Genomic DNA, 24,858 nt, shown 5'->3' with positions numbered 1-24,858 from the left:
ATAAAGAGTCTGAAGCCATTTGACTGGTAAACAGAAAAAAATTCGATCAGCCACCTCACTGTTAACAGCACAACAATCAATTCAATAAATATACTGTGCAAAGAACAGTGCTTAGAGAGACTAGAAGAGCAGTTTGTGGAGCCTGACTGTGACTATGTTAGATCATTAAGGCCAGGAGGCAAGAAACTATACATTTTCTTCTAATTCCTTTATCCTCATATTCCTGGTTAACTACTAAAAGATGAGATTAACATCTCTATCCTAAACTGCACTGTTTTTCCATTTTAAACACCTCTAATAATTTTTAAAGCATATTAGGAAATTTATTGACAATATAAAAGGGGTAAACAAAAATTAACTCATTTCTTAACAGAAATTGAAAAGACACTAAATGTTTCAACACTCATTCACTGATAAAAATTAAAATTAAGCACTGATAAAAATAAAAATTAAGAACATAAAAATCATTCCTTTAGCTGATAAAGATCACTTCAAACTAACAAGAAATTCCATAATAATATACCACAGATATTTCTCTTAAACACAAAAAAACACCATAGTAATAAAACACCACAGACATTTCTCTTAAACACAAAACAAAGGGTATGCATACTATATCCAATACGTTGTGAAAATCCTGAGCAAAGCAGTAAAAGCTCAAACAGGAGTCAGAACATACAATAAAGAAAACATTCAGGCCAGGAGCTGTGGCTCATGACTGTAATCCTAGTACTTTGGAAGGGTGAGGTGGGTGGATCACCTAAGCTCAGAAGTTCAAGACCAGCCTGGACAACATGGAGAAACTCCGTCTCTACTAAAAATACAAAACATTAGCCAGGCATGATAGAATCCCAGCTACTCAGGAAGCGAGGCAGGAGAATCGCTTGAACCCAGGAGGCAGAGGTTGTAGTGAGCCAACACCGCACCACTTCACTTCAGCCAGGGTGACAGAGGGAGACTTTGTCTCAAAAAAAAAAAAAAAAAATCAGAATGGCAAGAAAAATGTATCTAGAAACACTTACATGACATATTAGAACTGTCTTATGAAATATTAGAGCTAAGACTCAATGTAAAAAAAAAATCAATTCTTCCTGGATAAAATTTATTAGAAGTATTGTCAGGGAGGTGACTAAAGAAAAAAAAGGGGAATTTTTAAAAGTAACTATAGCCAGGCATGGTGGCTTATGCCTATAATCCCAACACTTTGGAAAGCTGGGACAAGAGGATTGCTTGAGCCCAGGAATTCAAGACCAGTCTGGGCAACACAGCGAGACCCCATCTCAACAACAAATTTAAAAATTAGCCAGGTATAGTGACATGTGTCTCTGGCCCCAGCTCCCTGGGAGGCTGTGGTGGGAGAATCACTTGAGCCCCAGAAGTTAAGGCTGCAGTGAACTATAATCATGCCACTGCACTCCAGTCCGGGCTACAGAACGAGACCCTATCTCAAAAAAAAAAAAAAAAAAGAAAGAAGAAAAGAAAAGAAAAAGAGAGAGAGAAAGACAGACAGAAAGAAAGAAAAAAAAAAGAAAATTCCACCTAGATATTTTGTAGCATGACTAGCTTTTAAAACTTACTCTGAGGCCAGGCGCGGTGGCTCACGCCTGTAATCCCAGCACTTTTGGAGGCCGAGGCAAGCGCATCACGAGGTCAGGAGTTAGAGACCAGCCTGGACAACAAGGTAAAACCCCGTCTCTACTAAAAATACAAAAATTAGCCAGGCATGGTGGTGGATGCCTGTAACCCCAGCTACTCGGGAGGCTGAGGCAGGAGAACTGCTTGAACCCAGGAGGTGGAGACTGCAGTGAGCCCAGCGCCATCGCACTCCAGCCTGAGCGACACAGCGAGATTCCATATCAAAAAAAAAAAAAAAAAAAAAGCTTAATCTCTAAGTGAAACAATGCTAAAAACAGGGAAAAAATTGAAAACCAAAAGTAATGAAAAATGTTTGCCCTCTCAGATGTGACAGCATATAACAAAGCATTATTATCTTAAGTACAAAAAAAAAAAGAGTACAACAGAATAATCATCCAAAAGACAGACACAAACAATAAAAAAGGTAACTATGACAGAGAAGCATCACAAACAAGAAAGAAAGGCCAGGCACGATGGCTCACGCCACTAATCCCAGCAGTTTGGGAGGCCAAGGCAGGCGGATCACCTGAGCTCAGGAGTTTAAGACCTGCCTGGCCAACATGGTGAAATCCCATCTCTATTAAAATTACAAAAATTAGCCGGGCGTGGTGGCAGACACCTGTAATCCCAGCTACTCAGGAAGCTGAGGCAGGAGAATCACTTGAACCCCAGGAGGCGGAGGTTGCAGTGAGCCGAGATCACACGACTATATTCCAACCTGGGTGACAAGAGCAAGACTCTGTCTCAAACAAAAACAAAACAAAACGTAACAAATAAGGAAGAAATGGATTTTGAAATAAATAGTGGAAAATCTATCAAAATAGCAGTTAAGCATAATAGCAAAGACACTAGACATAAAATAATATAAATATTCAAAGGCACAGAAAGTACTACAAGTAACCACAAGTTAGGAGAAATACTTGAAAAAATGGCATAGTGATATAGGATTAGTATTCAGAATAAAAAAGAAAATCTATTAGTGAATGAAAAGGACAAACAGTTGGAAAAAAAATACAGAAACGTGAGCAGGCAATTCATAAAACAACATATACAAGAAAAGGCATTCAACCTAATCATCAAAAAAAGACAAAACAGAAAGAGAAAATACATTTTTAAACATCAGATTGGCAACTACTTGTGGTTAGCATTAATATACAGAAATGAGTGGTCTTATGTACCATGAGCAGAAGAGTTAACTGTCACATCCATTTTTAAGGACAAACAAGCAGGAATTGTGCATCATTTTGACACAGCAAAGGACCTTTAAGGTATCTATCTAACAATGTATCAACATGTTTTACAAAGGAATATATCAGGATGCCTAGTGCTGCACTGTCATAGAAAATACAAAAACAAAAGCCCTTAATATCCCAGGAATTAAAAAAAAAATCTCTGAGAAATATTATCAAGCACACCAAAAAAGCAGAACTCTTGCAATTAATAGTGCAAATACCAGGACCAGACATACCTTTTTAAATATTAATCCTATTAATTTCCTGGTTATCTATCTAAAATATATATCTTCTCCTTACCTCAGTAAAATCATCTATGAAACTGAAATAACAAAGTCTGTCTTCATGGAAATGTTATGGGAATTAAATGACATAATAAATAGAAAGTACTTAGATACTGTAAGCAGTCAATAAATGTTTCCTGTTTTATGCCATTATATTTTAAAACACACAAAAATCTAAACATGTATACAGGCATGCAAGTGATATTTTAAAGACTAAAAGGATAAATGTCAAACTAGTTAAAAGTACCTCACTTACACAGAGACAAGGCGATACAAATACAGACTTTCAATTTAGACCTGATACGCCAGTGTGAATCATCACATGAAAATTCACTCATGTAATTGGTATTTGAACAGTTAAGTTCATCAGACATTCTCTCTTCCATGCTAGTGCTAAACCAGGGCAGCAGTCACATTTGTGAATGCAGCTAGGGTAGTAACTTATATAGACACTATGTCCCCGGAGAGACATGGAGGCTACCATCCCAAAGACAAATTATCAGCATATCCCATGTGTAGCAAGTACCACTTCCCCACCACTCACAATCACCTGAACCATCAGCATCCAGCCAAAGTAAAACAGGAAATCTCAAATACAAAAATGAATACATTCAAGAATTCAAACAAAAGGTCAGGTGCCAAATCCCACAAAAAACACTAGCTAATTAGTAGGAGAATAAACAGAAGACATTTTAAAATAGTATATTAAAAAATCCTCTAAGTGTATGAGAAGATATTACACTCACAAGAACAAACAAACACATAAGAAATATACCCAGAAGCAACAACTTTCAATTAAGTCAAGTTTCTAAAAAAAAAGAAACAAGAAAAAAAGGAGGGAAAAAATAAGAAAATTAAAAAAAATCAGCAAAGCTGAAAAAATATACAAGTTTTCCAATAATAAAGGTCTATTGAATCCCAAAACAAACTAAATTAAAATAAGCAAAATAAAATTTTTTGACACCTAGGCATACTGCAATAAGATTTCAGAAAATCATTATAGGGAAATATTAATAACTTAGAATATCATTTAACTACAGAAGAGAAAGAATTAAACTGGCATCAGACTTGTCATCAGCAATACTGAAAGCTAAAAAAAAAACAATATCCTCAAAATTCATGGGAAAAGTTATTTTCACTGTGGAATTCTACAGCTAGCAAAGCTAGCAGTCAGCAAGAGTGAGGAAATAAATATATTACTTCTGAGCAAAGACAGAGAATGCAGACCTTTGCTAAAATGATTATATATAAATATAAGTACAAGACCAGACAGCAGAAGAACCTATGAAGAAATTCAGATAAGGAAATTAGCAAAGCTCCAAAAAACAAGTAAAACTCTTGAGCAGGCTGAAATAACTGAGGATCAATCATCTTTAAAATAAATATGTTATTTATCCAGATAATTGCAATGTGTAAGTTAACTAACAGGTTGCAGAATATGGGGCAAAAATAAAGAAAATTATCAATCAGGGAAAAACCTGATGGGTTTCAAGCGTGTAAAACAACAAAAATATCATTAGCTATGCACTATAAACGAGACATACCTTAGAGTAACAGCATAGAAAGGTTGAAACAGAAGGATAGAAAATGATACGCTAGGCAAATAGTACCACAAAAAAGGGTAGGTATACATATAAAACCTATATATGACATATAAAAAAGAATTCAAGTTGAAAATCAAGTAATAGAACAAAAAAAAGAGATATGTCCTATTGATAAAACAAGTTTAAATAATTCAGGAAAAAACTAATAAATTCACAATCAGAAATAAATCTATGGATGAAGAACACAAAAGTAATAAGCAATGAACAACCCATTAGCATGTCAGAATAACAAAAATAAATAGAACTGTATACCCAATAAACCCAAAATATAATTTTTTTCACAAATACAGCCAATGTACATCAATATTGACCATGTGTATGGCGACAAGAAAATCTTAACAAACTCAAAGACAAAAAAAAAAAACCACAAGGCTATATTCTGTAGTCATAATGTAATAAATATACCAACAAGATGACAGAAAAATTATCTCCTTATAAATAAAAAAAAAAACTTTTAGATGTAGGAGGAAATCAGTGATAAAATACCAACGAAGTATTAAAAGAATACAACCTAGGGAAATCAGCTAAAATGATATTCAGATTAAAACTGATAGCCTTAAATGCATATATTAACAAAAAACACAAACTCAAAAACATTAATAAAGGCAAAAAGGTATAATCCCAAAGCATGGAATTACAATAAAAGCAGAAAATTATGAAAGAAAACAAATGAGCAAGCAATTAAGGAACCAAAAGCCAGTTCTTTAAAAACACTATTAAAACAGAAAAAAACCTTGCAAGGAAGACAGACACAAAGCATAGTAAATATAACGAACAACATGAGAAATTATTAAGAAAACATAATAACGTAACAATTGTTTCAAATATTAAAGTATGTTAAAGTTTATCAATGAATATTAGGGAAAGACTGAGGTATTTTAACTTAATGCAAACTCAAAAAATCATCTCAAGGTGGCTGCCAAAAATGCTAATGCAAAGTTAAACTGTAGAACAAATAGCCAAGGAGAAGGGGAAAATTTTTAGAGTAATTATGTTTGGTTCTGAGCATCACAGATAAAGAAGGACTTATTAATAACTGTGGGATGACCATGCTAAAGAATGCTCTGGAACAGTAAGTTGTATGAGGAAATGTCAGGAAAAAATAAAAGATATTGATATTTAGCCTAGAAAACATAAGAAAATTTTAATGAGCTTTCTTTAAATAGTACATATTTGTCATGTAAAAGAGATACAAGAGAAAGAGAGCTACAGACAGACAGAAAGTGGGGGGCTATGAGAAGCAAAAATAAAAGTAATGAAAGGCAACTTCATCTCAAAATCAACAAATGTTAATTTGTTTGGATGCCCAATAAAAGAAGAAACTGATTTATGAAAATAGAGACTCTCCCTTCTGTCATTAGAAATAGTGAAGTATAAACTAGATAATTATCTGTCAGGAATATCAAACAGTAGGTTCCTGTGCAAAGTGCAATATTAGAAACTACCTGACCACTTAGGTTCATTTCATTTTGAAGATTTTGAGATTCTACATTGCTTGCTAAATACATTTTCTTTCTTAAAAGGAACACAAACACTTTTTAGGAACTCAAAGATTTTTATACTCCAAATTTTGGATCATTCACACTCAACTTCAATAGCCTCAAAGACTATATACCTTTATCCTCATTGTTTTTTTGGTGTTTTGTTTTTTTGTTTGTTTTTGGTTTTCTTTTTTAGAGACGGAGTTTCGCTCTTGTTGCCCAAGCTGGAGTGCAATGGTGCGATCTTGGCTTACTGCAACCTCCGCCTCCCGGATTCAAGCAATTCTCCTGCCTCAGCCTCCCAAGTAGCTGGAATGACAGGCGTGCGCCACCACATCTGGCTAATTTTTTGTATTTTTAGTAGAAACGGGGTTTCACCATGTTAGTCAGGCTGGTCTCGAACTCCTGACCTCAGGTGATTCACCTGCCTCGGCCTCCCAAAGTGCTGGGATTACAGGCGTGAGCCACCACGCCTGTAATCATACTCATGACTTTTATCTTTGTTTTGATTGTCTATGTACAAAATATACCTCTGTCCTACTATCCCTCATCTTTCTTTGCTATGACCTCCAACTCTAACAGCATTCAATAAATTCCTGTTTTTGTCTATCAACTCTTTTTCTCTTTGTCTATATGTAAAAACTAGCCCATCTCAACTATCTTCCCAGCCCAGCATTCCCCTAACCAATATAATAGCACAAGAGAAGTTTGAAAAACTTTTTCCTACTGTTTCAGATGTGTATGTCTTCCACACCAAGAAGCATGACCTTCTCCTCATCCAACCTCAAACACATCAATCAAAATTGATTTCTTTCTACTATCATCATTTTGTCAATCATAGGGAAATTGTTTACTGAGATGAAACATACACAAAAAAGTTACGTTTCTATACTTTAATAAAATATATGCTTTTTTTTTTTAAATCCAAGCAACACTGTCAAAAGGCAACAAGTAAGGAACAGTTCCTGCCCCTGAAACATGAGTATGGCTTCTATCACAGCTGGCCCCCAGTTTTAAAGTATACAACTATGTAGCAATAAGTGACCAAACTTTCAGAAACTAGAGAACTGGAAGTCCCACCTAAAAGTAACACTTTGGTTACAGAAAGAGCCTGCTGCTTGACTTCTAAAGAGGGAGGGAAAGAGCAGAGAGCTGCCTGACGTAATTCCTTTCTTTGATACACTACTCTAAGCTACCTCACTACCACTCTTCACTTTACTCTGCTATTCAACTCTTCACCCACCCTCCAAAAATTATTACAATCAGTAATATATTTCTGGCCATACTGATACGAATGAACACATACATTGGCATTTCTTTATAAACATACACCTTCCTATCTTTACAGCAATGGTAGTAGATTATTTTTATTGCAATGGAATTTTATATTTTTGTATACAATATTTCATGCATAGAAAAAAATAATAACAAATGACTGTGTTCCTTTAACCCAGGTTAAGAAATATGAAATTTAGTGGAATTCCTAATTAATACATTCATTTTAGACTTTTAAAAATCACTTTATTAAAATAATAATAAATTTAAATATAGAGAAATGGAAAGAATAAGGGTGGAAGTAGAAAATTGACCAAGTTATATGTATAAATATACATTATCTAATGTATGTCAATGAGCCATATTTGAAAACATAAGCACTCTGATTTGTAAAGGTGAATTCAAAGTGGTAAATTTAAACTAAAACTTTATACTTAAGTGAGGTTACAAAATGTCATCTCTCTGCGTGTACCAGTTGGTGTCACTACAAGTGAGAATATAGTAACAGACTATAATGAAAAGAGATCTAAAACTGATTTCTATGTAATATGAACATATTGTATGCATGAGTAATATTCATATATGAAGTCCACTGTTAGTTCATTTCAATTCAAATGTGAAGGAATTTTGAGAAGATGAAAATTACATTTTAAAAAATACCAAATCCAAATGTGGCATTCAAAATCTCCTGAATATTAACATTAAACGATCTACCAATCCTGTTTTCATTAGAACTAAAAACAAACAAATTTTTAAAAACTTCCAATGGTGAGAGAAAAACATAAAGCCTGGGGGGTAGGTGTCACAGAAAAAGGACCTGAATCTCTTACCTGTGGGCAGCTTGACACTGTGAAAAGGACTTCCTCTTCTGTAAACCACTGCTACTTAGTTCATTTGTATAAACATTAAAAGCTAATGCAGACTTCTAGGTCAGCCTTCTCGAGTCTAAATTTCTTGTTTGATTCATATTCATTAAAAAAAAAACAAGAATACAGTAGGTTGGCTACATATTAAAATTCCTTTCAAATAGTGGTTCACATCTGTTGGGTAGTTTGTGCAGCATACATCCCATTTACCACAAAAGCCAAAAAACGTCAGACAATATGTCAATGAAGCTCACAGAACACACAGAGTATATCTTCAAAATGACTATTTCAAAGTGAAAATGCCTAGAATCAGAATTCTTTGTACTGCTTTCTATGCTGCCAACTATTAGGTCTGCAGCAACTGTGTGCAGTTAAGTACCTCCCACATATTACCCAATAGTATCAATAGGTATAAACCTATAAAAGAACTAAAAGCTTAAAAGGCTTATAGCTTCTCACTATTTCACATATTCACTGTCAATTGTGGTCTCACTACTGCTATTCTAATGTATCAACTCTGTTCTTTCAGTCCAAAAGGCTGAATTCTTATACATTCCAAACAGAAAATCCATGACACATTTTATTTGCTACCCTAGCACAGCCAGACTGCAGTTACAGCTAGCTGGCGCCAGTAAGGACAATTTACATAAAGCAGTCCTCATTTCATGACCAAACTAAAGGAGAGTACTGCTGAGTAAACCCTCCCCATTCGTTCCCCAACATGTACTGACTGGTTCTAGAATATATCTAGTTATCTACATATATTTGATATACATATTTGAATAGAATTCAAATCCAGGTAATAAAAGAAAACCAATTTATAATTCTTATATAACTGAAATTCCACCCCCCACCACAAGAAAAATATTTTTAACTCTCAGAGATATTCAAAAGCCTTAGCTTACTTATGGCACAGACCACGTAAATTCAATGGTTGCTGTTTGGCAATCATTAAAAATACAAATTATAATTCACATTACCTAATGTTATCCTCATTCTACTCTACAACTACCTTTCAAATTTTAACTAATCAATTAAATAGTAAACATTATTAAGTAGATGTGCTCTTAGAAGTATATTGTTTAACATTTCACCAAATAATAAGAATTGTGTACCTTCAGGTATCACTATTATGATGGTTAAATAATTCAACACATTTACCACTAGTTAATATTACCAAAGCATGTGCTGAGTATAAAAACCTAGGCACATTAAATTACGAATGTCTTCCCAAGAAAATATTCTGTCTGTGCCACATTCTTTTCAAACCTGTATCATTCATGTATTGTTTTTACTGGCCAGATCTGACAAGGCAAGAGTTGAGTCATTATCTGCAAGGCCCTTTTCTTTATTTTTACTTATTTTTTAGTTAATTTATTATCTACTAATACATAATTCTACTCCACTACCATTTTCATTAAGGCTAGAGATATATTAAATTTCATTTTAAAGTAACAATCCAGAAACTAGTTTAGTCCCGCATCTGAAATAACAAAATGAAAAGAAGTACTTAAAATGCTTACTAGGGGTTATCCAAAATATTTTCCATATTTTTAAATCTTATTTTCAGCTATCTTCAACATACTTCTTAAGTTACCCCTATCACATAAAAAAGATAATGGGGCTATAAATGAGGGGACGCATAAAGTTATCATTTATCAATAGCAAATGGTAGACTTATATAGACAATCAAAAATATTATCTAGGTTATCAATGATAAATTTCCTCAAACAACTATATTCTCTTCTCAGGATCTATGACCCACCAGCAGCAGATGAAGTGATAGGGACAAATATAATGATACAATTTCATGCATAAATTAACTCTTGGTTGGAGGAAAGATCTTATATCAAAAGAGCTTTCTAAGTACCATATACTGATCATAAAATATGAGTTGAGAAAAAATGTTAGAAATAATCTAAGCATTGAGAACAGAATCTAGAAGTTAAAAATTAAAAAAAGAAATCACTTATTATATACCTTACAGTTTTAATTTTGTTCTCTTCCTACCTGTATCATGCATCCAACCATGAATAAAAGTACTTGAAAATCAAAAGACCTAAAATAACTTAGTCCAACATAAAATATAGTGTAAATAACATGGATGTAAGTATTTCTAAGCCAAATAAGCTAATTACTTGACAGTGAATTATTCATCAAAAGAAGCTGAAAATCTCCACAACATGCTTACTAATAGTACTAACAATGGCAACTGTTGATCTAGCTCACTGCTAAAATGAATACAGTAAAGACTGGTGTTTTATTTTCAACCCACTGTAGATCAATGCTATTGTAAAATATGGTGGCAATGAATTACCTGAAAAATGAAATTAAAAATAAGGCATATAAAATATGAGTTTTAATTGTTTTGACTCAACTGACATAAAATTACATTATCAGATTGATGTAAAAATTTCTATAAACTCTCAATTTCAGTTCTTATCTCACAGAGGACCAGAAGCGAACAGTTCTCAGACTGATCACAGGCCACATTTTGTGTAGTGCTCATCTAGCTCTTAGATACCTATTCTACCCTACCCCACAGCATTCACAATCCTTAAGTATTTGCAACCTTCTCTCATATTTATTGTCTGTGTCTTCCCACTCCCTCCACAAGTGTAAACTCCCTGAGAGAGAGCAAGGATCTTATATGCCAAGCATCAAACAGTACCTGGCAAATAATAGGTGCATAATAAATAACTGTTACATTTGTTGAGTAACTGATCAATTCACAGTCTGTTTTAGTTTTCACTCTACCATGCTGCCTTTGCACAAGTAAGAATTCTTATTTTGTCCCCTTTAGACTCTTCAAAGTCTTCACTTGGAGATTCTAAAGACCCTGCTCTGTGACATTTTTACTGTAAATCAGCCAGGCCCCTAAATACGCCCTCTCCCTAAAGATCCTTTTCTAAACTACCCAGTAGACCAGATTTCTCCCAACTCCATTCTTCCTGAAATGATGATTTTTAAAAGAAAAAAAAGAAAAAAAAAAGATCTGTGCTAAAGGGAGTCTTGTGAAACAAATGCAACCAATATTTAATTTGTGCTACACTTCACTTGACTTTATATTTGTTATCCTCATTTAAACCCCAATATTAGTTCTTTATGATAAACATTATTCCCATTTTAAAAACAAGAAAAACTGAGGTTCTGAAAATAAGTAACTTGCCTCATTCCATAAAAATACCTAAGACTTGGCCAGGCATGGTGGCTCACACCTGTAATCCCAGCACTTTTGGAGGCCGAGGCAGGCAGATCACTTGAGGTCAGGAGTTCGAGACCAACCTGGCCAACATGGTGAAACCCCGTGTCTACTAAAAATACAAAATTAGCCAGGCATGGTGGCGCACGCCTATAATCCCAGCTACTCAGGAGGCTGAGGCAGGAAGACCGCTTGAACCTGGGAGGCGGAGGTTGAAGTGAGCTGAGATAGCACCATTGCACTCCAGCTTGGGCAACAAGAGCAAAACTCTGTCTCAAAACAAACAAACAAACAAACAAAATACCTAAGACTTACTGAACACATAATCATAAATAGGTACTGTACTTTGAGCACTATATATCCATTTTTCATATAACCTATAACTAATGAGAGGAAGAACATGGATTCACCCTGACTCTGTTTGACTCAAAGTTGGTGTTCTTCCAACGACCCATCTCATTTAATGATCAGGGATAACACAAAGAGGTTAAATATTTATCCAAAACTACACAATTACTTAATAACAGTACGAGAGCAGAAGTAATCTTTTCCTAACTTCTATACTAATGTTTTCCACTATGTATGCCATGGTACAGGTATTTCTATATCCAACAAAGGGATACACGAGTCAGATAGTTCTACTGGCAGTTGGCTAGCTGTATCTGCCTTACTTCAGAAGGAAAGACAAGATTCCCTCAGGCAGATGCAGAAGCAACTCCTCAGACCTCTCTCCAGTGTTAAGGTCCCTCTTTCACTAAACTGATGAAGATTTGCTAAATCAATTTGTGCTGTTTTCACAATTTCCATATTCACATATTAATGACTAATAACAGACTGTTACATATCACCAACAGAGAACTCTTTGTGAGAGTTCTAACCTGAGCAATTAAAAAACAATCACTTATTTGAATAGACATTAGGCTTTCTCTCAAATCACTTTCTCTTTTCAAAGTGTGAAGAGCAGTAAAGCAGGGGAGTCACTGTTTCCTGTGCAAGTTAATCACTTTTTCAATTTTCTCTAAAGTTGAACTCTAACTAGAAAACCATTTTCCAAAAAGGCATAACATTCTTTTAGCACTTCCTTAGAGTTACCAATGTCGTGGTATTATTTGAATGTTAACAAGCTGGCTTTCACTCTGGGAAATGTGGAATTCAAATTTAAGTCAGATCAAGATTATAAATTATCATGTTTCATGCATCATCAAGGTAGTCTTCACATAGACACTGTAAATGTTAAATTAATAAATGTAAATAGATGTAAGTTTTCAACAAAAATAAAGTTTGTAATGGCCTAACGGCCATTATCTAATCTAGTGTACGGTTAAGAAAACATTCTATTAGGAAATTTACTCATTATTTTCAGTGATAAACTTCTTAGCTCAACTAATTTGAGCAAAAATCTTTTATAAAATGTTATTTCATTTATCTGTTCAGTAAACTGCATAGCTTGAATACACTTTAACTTTTTCTTATTCAGTATCACCATTAAGAACATCAAGTTGATAGTGATGTCCTTTAACACAGCGGTAACATTTAAAGAAAACAGAACTGATTATCACATAAAAGATCTCAAGGTACTTAGATGTTTCTAATTAGTATTTCTTTAATCTCTTCACTTTCAATCGTTACTTGTTGTTATGCCATTGGATCTCCTTCATTTGGCTCCCATGGCACTCTATATAAAATTAGGACAAAGTGAAAGGTTACAAAAGGTGCCATATCTTCTAAAGAGTAAACTGACTTTATATATTCTAAGTCTCTCCTACCAAGTAAAGTAGGCTAAATTTTACTTATGTTTACTTTCTTTTGGGTTAGAAGTTATATTTTAGATATTTAAGGCTGCCAATAAACTATCAAATACGTAGGATAGGTCTTTAAAAGGAACTGTCTTCCAAGGCCACGCAGGTAACGTGATTCAGTGAAGAGGACCAGAGGTGGGCAAGAGAAGGCCCTATCTGAAGGAGACAGCATCTATACTCAATTGTAGATTGCTATCCTCAAGCAAAAATGTTGTTTGCTTTTCAAGAGGCAAGACATCTAGATTTTTAGGTAAAATCTGACAACTTTAAATGTTAACAATTAGAGAAATGGGGCTGGGGGCGGTGGCTCACGCCTGTAATCCCAGCACTTTGGGAGGCCGAGGCGGGCGGATCACCTAAGGTCAGGAGTTCAAGACCAGCCTCAACATGGAGAAACCCAGTCTCTACTAAAAATACAAAATTAGCCGGGCGTGGTGGTGCATGCCTGTAAACCCAGCTACTCGGGAGGCTGAGGCAGGAGAATTGCTTGAACCTGGGAGGCAGAGGTTGCGGTGAGCCGAGATCGCGCCATTGCACTCCAGCCTAGGCAACAAGAGCGAAACTCCGTCTCAAAAACAAAAAAAACAAAAAACAAACAATTAGAGAAATGGGCTGGTGACTAAAGAATAAAAGTAAGTTTGCTGGCTGCCAGTTTATAGCTCTGAAAATGAATTTTTTTCAAAGAGAATTTACTGTTTTTATGATTCTTATTTGTACTGAAACACAGGAAACTCTAGGCCGTGAATTCAAGTCATGTTTTTAGATAAGTTATTTTCTCACAGTGTATTTGAAGAACTCAGCCAGACTATACCCAAAACACTTCTCCTACTCCTCTAAATTCTGTAATGTCAACATTCTATATTGGCTTTACTTAATAAATACATCTGCCATATCCATACACAACAAAGGATGGCTAATTTATGCTAACAGAGTAGGACCCAGTACTACAAAAACGAATATATAACATTACTAAGTGGATATGATGTTACTTAGCACTTCTTGCTTCTGAGCATGAGTTATATAAGAAATTTCCCATAGTTTTTAAATACACACTGATCCAATCACACTTGAAAAGGTATATGACACTCGAGAGGCAAATAAACTGAAATGCATTTGGATATTACTGAGAAAATTAGTATGCAAGATTTTTGCAGAGTATTTCAAGATACTATTCTGAAACATTATGTAAATTGATTCTGAGCATATGCTTACCAAATAGATAGGAAATTTCCCCCATTTTATAGACGAAGAAACGAAAATCAAAAAATGGAATGAACACAGGGCACGATGCCTCATGCCTGTAATCCCAGCATGTCAGGAAGCTGAGGTGGTCAGATCACTTGAGGCCAGGAGTTCGAGACCAGCTTGGCCAACATGATAAAACCCCGTCTCTACTAAAAACACAAAAATTAGCTTGGTGGCACATGCCTGTAATACCAGCTACTCAGGAGGCTGAGGCACAAGAATTGTTTGAACCCAGGAAGTGGAGGTTGTAGTGAGCTCAGATTGCCACTGCACTCCAGCCTGAGAAACAGAGTGAGACTCTGTCTCCAGTAAAGAAAGAAAGAAGGCTGGGCGCAGTGGCTCATGCCTATAATCCCAACACTTTGGGAGGCCTAGGCAGGCGGATCACTTTAGGTCAGGAGTTCAAGACCAGCCTAGCCAACATAATGAAACCCCATCTCTACTAAAACTACAAAAATTAGCCGGGCGTGGTGATGGGCGCCTGTAATGTCAGCTACTCGGGAGGCTGAGGCAGGAGAATCACTTGAACCTGGGAGGCGGAGGTTGCAGTGAGCTGAGATTTCACCACTACACTCCAGCCTCAGCGACAGAGTGAGACTCCGTCTTGAAAAAAAAAAAATTAGCAGGGCACAGTGGCTCACGCCTGTAATCCCAGCAATTTGGGAGGCCAAGGCGGGCAGATCACCTGAGGTCAGGAGTTCGAGACCAGCCTAACCAACAGGAAGAAACTTCACCTCTACTAAAAATATAAAAATTAGCCAGGCATGGTGGCACATGCCTGTAATCCCAGCTACTCGGGAGGCTGAGACAGGAGAATGGCTTGAACCCAGGAGGCAGGCTGAGACAGGAGAATGGCTTGAACCCAGGAGGCAGAGGGTGCAGTGAGCCGAGGAAGCATCATCGCACTCCAGCCTGTGCCATAAGAGTGAAACTCCGTCTCAAAAAAAAAAAAAAAAGAAAGAATGAAAGGAAAGAAAGAAAATGGAATAAGCTCGTCAATGTCAGAAAAAGGTAGCAAAAACAGTATTCAAATTCAGGTTTGGACCCTTGGCCAGTGCCACCACCCTAACATTTCTCTTAGAGGCTTATGCAGATGAAATTGTTCATGAAAAAGGGTAAACAAAAGGGGAGAATTTTTAAAAGTGACAAAATAACATCATAAAACTTCAATTATTCAGCTCCCAGATTTATTATGCCCTCAATTACCCAGCATAATAGCTAACTGGAACTTGGAACAGAAAATTTGAGAACTATCACCAATCCCAAAAGCAATCATCTCATTAAGGGGTAATTTATGCTTACAGTTGCAAAAATGCAACACAGCAGGGAAAGAATTAGCAATAATATCCTGAGTAACCATAGGGCATTAGTATTTCCTCATGTACAGGTAATAATCTTGTAGAGGGTAGCGGCAAATATTACAGTTAGCAATAGAAGGCAAAAAGACTGGGTTATTAAAATTTCCCTAAGATCCCACTCAAGACCAGCATAAACTGCTCAATAATTTCAACATGGACAGTTTTTCGACATTATATAAAATGTTTTGAAATACACATATTTTTAAACACTAGAGTCTCCTCCCCTCCCACTCTCGCCACCAAGAAAATGAGCTGTTATTACTATTAAAAGGCATGAAAATAAGAGTGATCAAGGTCACAGCACATTCACTTTTCTATGTCATACTCACTCCAAGGATAACCTTACTGAAAGGAATGATGAATAGAATCCCTCAAACACATTGAAATGTTTTTCTTTTTCTTTTTTAGGTACAGTTCATATGACTGAATGATTTACATAAATTAGTGTTCAAATTATGAGAATCTACTATGTCATATAAGACAGTCCTAAAGATTTTACAATGTAGTGACTAAAGTGAAACAAAAATGCTAAAGCTGTTGATGAAACTGAGATAAATACTGATCCCAGAATATATTTTAAGCCACTAAATAAATGGACACTGATTTAATTAGGAAAAACAATTATTTTGTTTAAAAAAAATGTAAATAACAAATATAAACACAAGGCTGAGACAAGTCAACAATTTTAAACTGTTAAGTCATGTACATATAGATCTTATATTCCATCTTCATGAACATCAAAAATCAACATAACGAAGACACATTCTAGAATAATTTTCAAACTGAATTCCACAGTGCCTTAAGAGGCCAAGGTTCTACAAATAAGTGAACTAGATCTGGATCTAATACAAGATTATAATTGTCATGTACGATCTCGTTTCCAAGTTTTGTTTATCTTAATAGCATAATTATTGTCATTTTATTAAATACACATGACATGTGAATAAGTTTACAATATAAAATAAGTACATAACAATAAAATATCACGTGTCCTTTTGTTTCTTAAGCCTTGCAGAATTAAGCAGAAACCATAAGTATCCCTTTTATATATTGGAATCCTCCCTAAGAGTTTAACATGCAAAAAGTTTCTGTTTTTAGAAAGCTGCTCTACTCAGAAAGTTTAGAACTTACTGTTCTATGTCATATAAGTCAGGGATATATTCTTAATACTCTACGGACAAAACCAGGAGTATATTATACCAGCTAAAAAATATTTTAACAGGTACTGCAATTTAAGTATTGCTGCTTAAAGTATGCCTTTTCTGCTATCTGAAATACTACGTGAATAAGAATTTCATTCTCCCATCTTTCTGGGTAACCACAGACTTACAGTATCTCAATAAACATTTCTACTCCAGAACGATGTTAAGAAAGCTTTTTAAACTTTTTGAAATTAAATTTACAAAATCATTGAGCTATATTTCTTTTAAATATACTACAGGTTTGAATTAAGACTAAAATGAAAATATAACTTAATTAACTGAGTACTTCAGCTCTGATGGTATTTGAATACATTAGATATATTTTTTAAAAAGAGGTATCCATGACTAGATGTGAATTTATTTCTAAATTCAAAATCTGAATCTGAATGCCAACTTAAGCAAAAAGTAATTTGAACAAAGAAGCAAAGCAGCATTAAAAATGTCAAAGAGTTGGATACTGGGAGGAGGCAGCATGATGAGAAAGAACTGCAACCCATAATGCCAAAAAAAAAGATTTTGGACAGTATTAAAAATTTTTTTTCATGATTTATATAATTACCCTTCTTTCCAAAAAGCTTCCACACAATACCTCACAAAACCGTAGAAAAATTGTAGTCTTTGTGCAAAACAAGGCTTACTTATGGATCCTTTAAAAAAAAAATCTATTCAGATAATATATTGTTTTAATTTCTACAAATAAATACCAAACACACTAAAATAGCCTACACAAAAGGAATATTACATTAATTAGGGCCAGAAATGCACTACTATGGTGATCAAATGTTCTGGCAATGACAGAACATAAAATGGTGAGAAATTACAGGAATTTAACCTTTGACCCCACCATGCTATGTACTGTTTCCATAATAAAGGCTTAAAGGTTCTACCAAACATTTCAACTTTTTAAAAACCAAGCTCTAAGTTCACCCCTCTAAGTAAACTCAGTTAAATTCCTTTTTAAAAAAGAAAAAAATGAGAATGTTTAAGATAAAAGAGTAATTGGTTCTTACCTCTGGTCCTGATGCATGTGACAAGTCTCCTCACTGACATACTTGCTGCCTAAGCAGCTACAAAGACTAGGTTAGCAGCCATTTTGAGACAGCTGCACAGTCTCAGTTGCACAAAAGTGTAATTAAGATGGCTGCAATGTGCACTCAAGAACTCACACAGTGAAAACTCAGCTATGTAACAAACAAAGCCCCTCCCACTTTGTCAGCCTGCAGGAAACTGAACATAGACAACAGCTAATGCATATACTGCAACAAACAATGCAGCTACACAGGACACAGAAAAAGAAAACAGAAGGCAGCAAGCCAGTTTTGTAACATAATGCCTGTGAATCCCGTCTTGCAATACAGACTTTGGGCACATCCAGATCCCAAACAACTTGAAATCCATGCCACATATTAGCAGTTACAGAGATGGAGCCAAATCACACAGAGCAAACATCAGGGAATTCGCTTGAAAGAAAGCCTCCATTTCAGTCCAGAAAAAAAAAAAAAAAGTTAAACCTTGCTCAAGGCCTTTTTTTTTTTTTTACCTTTTATAGTTTTATCATGAAAAGAATTTCAATTTTATAATTTCTAGAAAATTGTTTAAATCCTGAAAATGACTTGATTGATTAAGTTAATTTCAATTTATAGAAGGCTAAAGATTTTCTCCACAGAATCTAAAAGCCCCAAAGTGCTCAAATCTAGCAGAACAGTTAAAGCCTACAATTAAATTTTTGAACCTTGATAACAGAATCTCTAGAAGATGGCAAAAAGCTTATTGAGTAATTTACCATAGATATAAAAATAATTTCTTCTCTTCAGTAGTACAGATGGTCACAAACATTAACATCCCCAGGTGAGTGTTTAGTCCCAGGGCAAATTACATTTCATGCCCTGACAAAGACCTCCCAACTTTTTGATGTGAGTGAAAAGCAAATAAAAACAAAGAATTATAGGCACCCTGATGGAAAGAAGGGAATTTTAAAAAAGAGTAAAACTCAGTCTAATAGATATATTAGCAAGACAAATTTGAAAGAGCTCCAACAAATGTGGGTTGGCAGAAACATATCAATCAAAGAGAAGGGAAGGACAAAAGCACAGAGAGAACCTGTTCACATCAGCAATAGAATCCACATTTTCTTTCTCTCTTCCTCAGTCTACCTTCCTAAAATCTAGCTAACCTGTGTATCTTGTTCTATCTATCACTAAATATAGGTATTTACTAAAAAGTTTTAAGGGTATAGGGGAGTAATAGGGATATAGCTAAAAGGAGATTGGCCCTATGACTTGACAATGGTTCAAGCTGAGCAATGGGCACACAGAATTTATTATCTCATTCTATTTCAGTATATATTTGAAATTTTCCATAATAAAAGTTTTTTAAATTACTTATCTTTAAAAGGTCCTTATGTATTTTCCATGAGGCAAAATGAATAATGTATGTAACAACTTCAGTATATCAGAAAAAAAAAGTTAAACTTGATCCAAGCCATATTAATTCTTTAAAAATACAACTGTGATTCTCAAGCAAAGACTATTCATTAAAAGCAAGATTTAGGCCAAGCACAGTGCTTCACACCTATAATCCCAACACTCTGGGAGGCCAAGGCGGAAGGCTCTCTTGAAGCCAGGAGTTTGAGACCTGCGTGGCCAACAAAGCGAGATCTCTGTCTGTCTCTACAAAAAAAATTTTTAAAACATTAGCAGGTGTGGTAATATGAACCTGTAGTTCCAGCTACTCAAGAGGCTGATGCAGGAAGATCACTTGAGCCCAGAAGTTCAAGGCTACAGTGAACTTGAACCACTGCACTCCATCCAGCCTAGTCAACAGAGCCAGATCCTGTCTCAAAAAAAATTATAATTAAAAACAAAAGCAAGATTTGGTAAATTGAGAAAGGCTGGAACAGAATTGATATTACTGTAGCACTGGAATCTATGTTTAATTGGGGGGTGGGGAAAGATGGTACACATAGCCAAAATATTCAGAGCTGCCTAATGAACACTTTCTTACATTCTGGAAGCAAAGTGTTTTTAGGAAGTCTGATCCACAAAGATTTAAATTATGGAACACACTGTCAAATGGATGATATCTTCTTCAAGCCTCCCTTCTCTTGCCAAATACTTTTCCAATGTAAATCCTGACTACTTTTTTCTTAGTCTAAACATAGTCTACCAAGAGAAAGCTGCTGGCTACTAATAATACAGGTTGGACATCCCTAATCCGAAAATCCAGAATTCTCCAATAAGATTAAATAATTTCACAAAACTGATACAAGCAGAAATACAACCCAGACAACACTTAGTACCAGCTGACAGAGCTTTATCCATCCCTTCACACATTGGTTCTGTTTCTGTGTCTGATGAAACAGTTTAGAAAAGGAAAATAATTAGGCTGTTATTCAGATAAATAGTGTCAAGGCCAACACCTTTATCCCAAAGAAACTATCCTATTATAGTTTACTTGATATATCCTCTACATGATTCAACCTATATTACCCTATCACTGATAATTCTTTGCTTACTCTCTCCTTAATACGCACATCCCCAAACCAGGTATCATTACTCTCTCAATATCTTTTATGCATATCATCATTATACTTACCACCATTTCATTACTTGTATCTTTATGCAAATAATCTTTATATAAGGATATAAATCGCATCTTGATTCATTTTCCATTCTCTTCCATAGTATAGAACACAGTTATTTGCTCAATAAATAGTGAGCTGAAATTCTCAGTGTTTTTGTTTCTACCACAAAAATCTCAAAAGAACCTTCATTTTTAGGATCTCAACTCCTACTTTCTAGGAAGAAGTCAACTAATATGTCAACTAAGATTTTAGTCTTGGCCTAAAAACATCTGCAGTTCAGAATCCAAGATGGAAAAAATAACTTTTGTAGGGCACTTTTCAGGCACTACATGGGAACTACTATGTGCTTATTATGATAGATGACTCTGAGAAAATCTACAGGAAACAAAAGTGATTTAAGTTTTATTAATATTACTAAAAAAGCAGGATTCACCTTGACTGTATAATGTCACAGGTTTTAAGAAATTTGTTTTATATTGGGTCATTTGTAATGAGACCAATCGTTTATTTACAGAAGCATAAACACTTGCAACCAATTTCTAATGTTCAGTAAACAATTCCATGACTATCCAATGTTTAATCTTTTCCTAATTAAAAATCAGCACTTTTCACAAGTCTTTTTGTTTTTTCGTTTATTTGTTTGTAGACAGGCTACAGTGCAGTGGTGCAATCATGGCTCAGCTTACTGCAGCCTCAACTTTCTGGGCTCACGAGACTCTCTCACTTCAGCCTCTGGAGTAACTGGGACCACAGGTGTACACCACCACAACTGGCTAATTTTTAAAATTTTCTGTAGAGATAATGTCTCACTATGTTGCCCAGGCTGCATTCAATTTTTTTTTTATTTCACTCTTGCAATGACCATGTAAAATAAGAGCGCTACAATCTCAAATTTTTATGACCAGAGAATGTAATCATTTGCCAGGAGTCACACAATTAGTAAAGAAAGAAAAAAAAAAACTAGAATTAATTCTAGTCAACCATTACATTTTATATATATTATACTATTTGAAAACTCTGCATATGCAAATTATTGAAAACTATAGAATCTAAAGAAAAATTTTCACTGTATTTGGTTGAGAGTAAATATATGTTTTATTTATTTAATTAAGATGCTCTAATTGTAAGTTATTATTAACATTACACATATTTAAATCTAAAAGGCATGTTAGAATGGTATTAAGATGATGAACCAAAAACACCTAATCCCACTAAAACTACATAAATCCTAAAAAAACAGAGAGAAATAAGAGGTAACAGCTACTAAGATTTGGGAAGCTGAAAAATAAGCAGGACCAGCCGGACACGATGGCTCAAGCCTGTAATCCCTACACTCTGGGAGGCCAAAGTGGGCAGACCACTCAAGGCCATGAGTTCCAGACCAGCCTGACCAACATGGCAAAACCCAGTCTCTACTAAAAATACATAAATCAGCCAGGCATGGTGGCGCACCTGTAGTCCCAGCTACTCAGGGAGGCTCAGGCACAAGAATCACTTGAACCTGGGAGGTGGAGGCTGCAGTGATCCTAGATCGAGCTACTACACTCCAGCCTAGGCGACCGAATGAGACTCTGTCTCAAAAAAAATAAATAAGCACGACCAGTTGTAACTAATGTAGCAATCCCTAACATACAATATTCCAAGCTGCAGTGGTGACAAGTTAAGAACCAATCTGATTTACCTGGCAGAAATCTGAAAATCATAGAAAGTAAAAGAACCAAGCACCTTTGAAAACCAGAGTGAAGGGAGCAGAGAGAACGATAAAATGGCCAAAATAGTGACAGCTGTTTAAGAAGCAGAAAGATACCTTAGAAGCCTTTACCAAACACATTTAACAGTGACTATCTGCTCCTCCCAACCCTAACAAAAGTCTGAAGACAACATCTGCAGTTAAAAATGAGAGTACCTGGCCGGGCACGGTGGCTCATGCCTGTAATCCCAGCACTTTGGGAGGCCAAGGGAGGTGGATCACCTGAAGTCAGGAGTTCGAGACCAGCTTGGCCAACATGGCAAAACCCCGTCTCTACTAAAAATACAAAAATTAGCTGGGCGTGGTGGCACACACCTGTCATCCCAGGTACTCGGGAGGCTGAGACAGGAGAATCCCTTGGCCTGGGAGGCAGAGGTTGCAGTGAGCCAAGATTGTGCCAGTGCACTCTGGCCTGAGCAAGAGTAAGATTCTGTCTTAAAAAAAATAAAATAAAAACAAAACCTGAAAGTACTATATCAAAAAGAGAAGGACTAAGTCCTGACTGCAGAGATCCCTAGTCCCCTTCATGAATCTCCCAGAGTGCTGGCAATCAGAGCCTATTTCTCTATTGATAAAAATGGAAGACTATTCCCTGAGGGTGTCTGACCAGCACAAGACATAAGACCTAAGGTCTCTGGAGAACTCTCCCAAAATGGCTGACCCAGATCAGCCTAAAGGGAAGTTTCAAACTGTCGAATTTAGATAAGGCAATCAACTTTTGAATCTTCCACATCACATTATGCAGTTACCTAAGGAAGGCAATTGAGAAAAGTTTCCAACATGACAGAGACCAAAAGAAAACAAAAACAAAAAAAATACATGAAGCAATAGACTATGCAGGAATAAGAAAACTTCAAAAAAATGAATATATGCAGACAAAATGTTACATTCTTGAGTCAAGAATAGAATGCTATAGAAAAGGAATGAAAATTAAGAACATGATAGAAAAAAATGAAAAACTCAATAGGACTGGATGATAAAGTTGAAGAAACCAACCTTAGCAAAAAGACAAAATTACAAATCAGAAGAAAAGATACAATTGGAGTATCCATCCAAATATTCAAATTGGAATCACACACACACACACAAATACATCACCAATGAAATCATTTAAGAAAACTTTCCAGAGTTGAAGGGCAAGAATTTCCAGACCAAAGAGCCCAAAGCATGCCAGCAGACCATAATAAACAGATCCACACAAGGGCAGGTTCCATTGAAATTCCATAAGACTAAAGACTAATAACCAATTCTACAAGCTTCCACTGAGAGGAGAAATCTGAAATCAGAATGGCTTCAGATTTCTCAGTGGTGATAATAGTAGGAAGAAGATAATGGAGCAGTGTCTTTAAAATTCTGAAGGAAAAGAATTTCAACCTAGAGTTCTATACCCAGCCAAACTATCAATCAAGCATGAAAACATAGAATGACCTTTTTCAAACATGCATTGTCTTTAAAACCTGTATCTCCCATGCACCCTTTCTCAAAAAGCTACTAGAGAATGTGTAGCTTTCTACAGGCAGGGAGAATTCTAAGAATTCTCCTGCCAAGGACAGAATAAATCAATAAAAAGACATAGCATTTGGAAAACAAGGGTCCTAGAAGACAGGTGAAGGAAATCTTCACTGATGGTTGTATTAGTTCATTCTTGCATTGCTATAAAGAAATATTTGAAAATGGGTAATTTATTAAGAAGTTTAATTGGCTCACAATTCTGCTGGCTGTACAGGAAGTACAGTGTATCTGCTCGGGTTCTTGGGGTGGGGGCTCAGGAAATTTACAAACATGATGGAAGGCAAAGGGGGAGCATGCACATCACATGGCAGAGGCAAGAACAAGAGAAAGGTGAGAGGTGCTACACACTATTTAAATGACCAGATCTCACAAGAACTCACTCACTATTGTGGAGGACAGTACCAAGGGGGATGGTGCTAAACAATTCATGAAAAATCCAGCCCATGACCCAATTATCTCCCACGAGGCCCCACCTCCAACATAGAGGATTATGATTTAACATTAGATTTGGGTGGGGATACAAATCCAAACTATATCAATGGTGTACAAAATTCTAAGGATGACAGTTGTGTACGAGATATAGTGAGCAACTAAGCCACACAGGAGCAATGACACTCAAGAACTAAATGTGAGTCAAGATTTTTGCTGCCACCATACCTGAGGAATTGTGTCTTATAAATTAAGTCTTTTAAATAAATATCAAAGATTATTAGTAACTGTACCAAATCGTCTTAACTATTGCTATTTACATGGAAGAGACTCATGGATGCAGGCATCCTGGTATAAAGTTGACATCATGAGTCAACAACTGTCATAACTGTATCAAGGGA

At 35.6% G+C, this 24,858-nt stretch overlaps 1 protein-coding gene across 10 annotated transcripts in view, besides 1 other annotated feature; it reads right to left on the bottom strand.

Moving 5' to 3' along the window:
- ATF7IP (activating transcription factor 7 interacting protein) overlaps positions 1 to 24,858 on the bottom strand; it is a 137,249-nt gene that overhangs the window by 99,337 nt on the left and 13,054 nt on the right. For 5 of the 10 annotated variants that reach the window (NM_181352.2, NM_001388179.1, XM_011520756.4 and 2 more), the window contains exon 1: positions 18,194 to 18,313. The exons of 4 other annotated variants lie outside the window; for them this stretch is intronic. In NM_181352.2, the coding sequence (NP_851997.1) occupies positions 18,194 to 18,210 (17 nt within the window). In that variant the 5' untranslated portion in view covers positions 18,211 to 18,313. Of the gene's footprint in view, positions 1 to 8,341; positions 8,732 to 18,193; positions 18,314 to 24,858 lie in introns of those variants that run through there. One more of the 10 variants, NM_001388180.1, reaches the window with a different exon arrangement.
- Positions 10,705 to 10,999: a silencer, noted in NCBI's record as "tiled region #5402; HepG2 Repressive non-DNase unmatched - State 23:Low". NCBI's record gives its function as "represses a minimal TATA promoter and a strong SV40 promoter by Sharpr-MPRA in HepG2 cells {active_cell/tissue: HepG2}" and the evidence as "EXISTENCE:reporter gene assay evidence [ECO:0000049][PMID:27701403]".

This window comes from Homo sapiens, chromosome 12, assembly GCF_000001405.40.
Source record: "Homo sapiens chromosome 12, GRCh38.p14 Primary Assembly".
Taxonomy (NCBI): Eukaryota; Metazoa; Chordata; class Mammalia; order Primates; family Hominidae; genus Homo; species Homo sapiens.
This window is presented reverse-complemented; position numbering and strand designations above follow the sequence as displayed.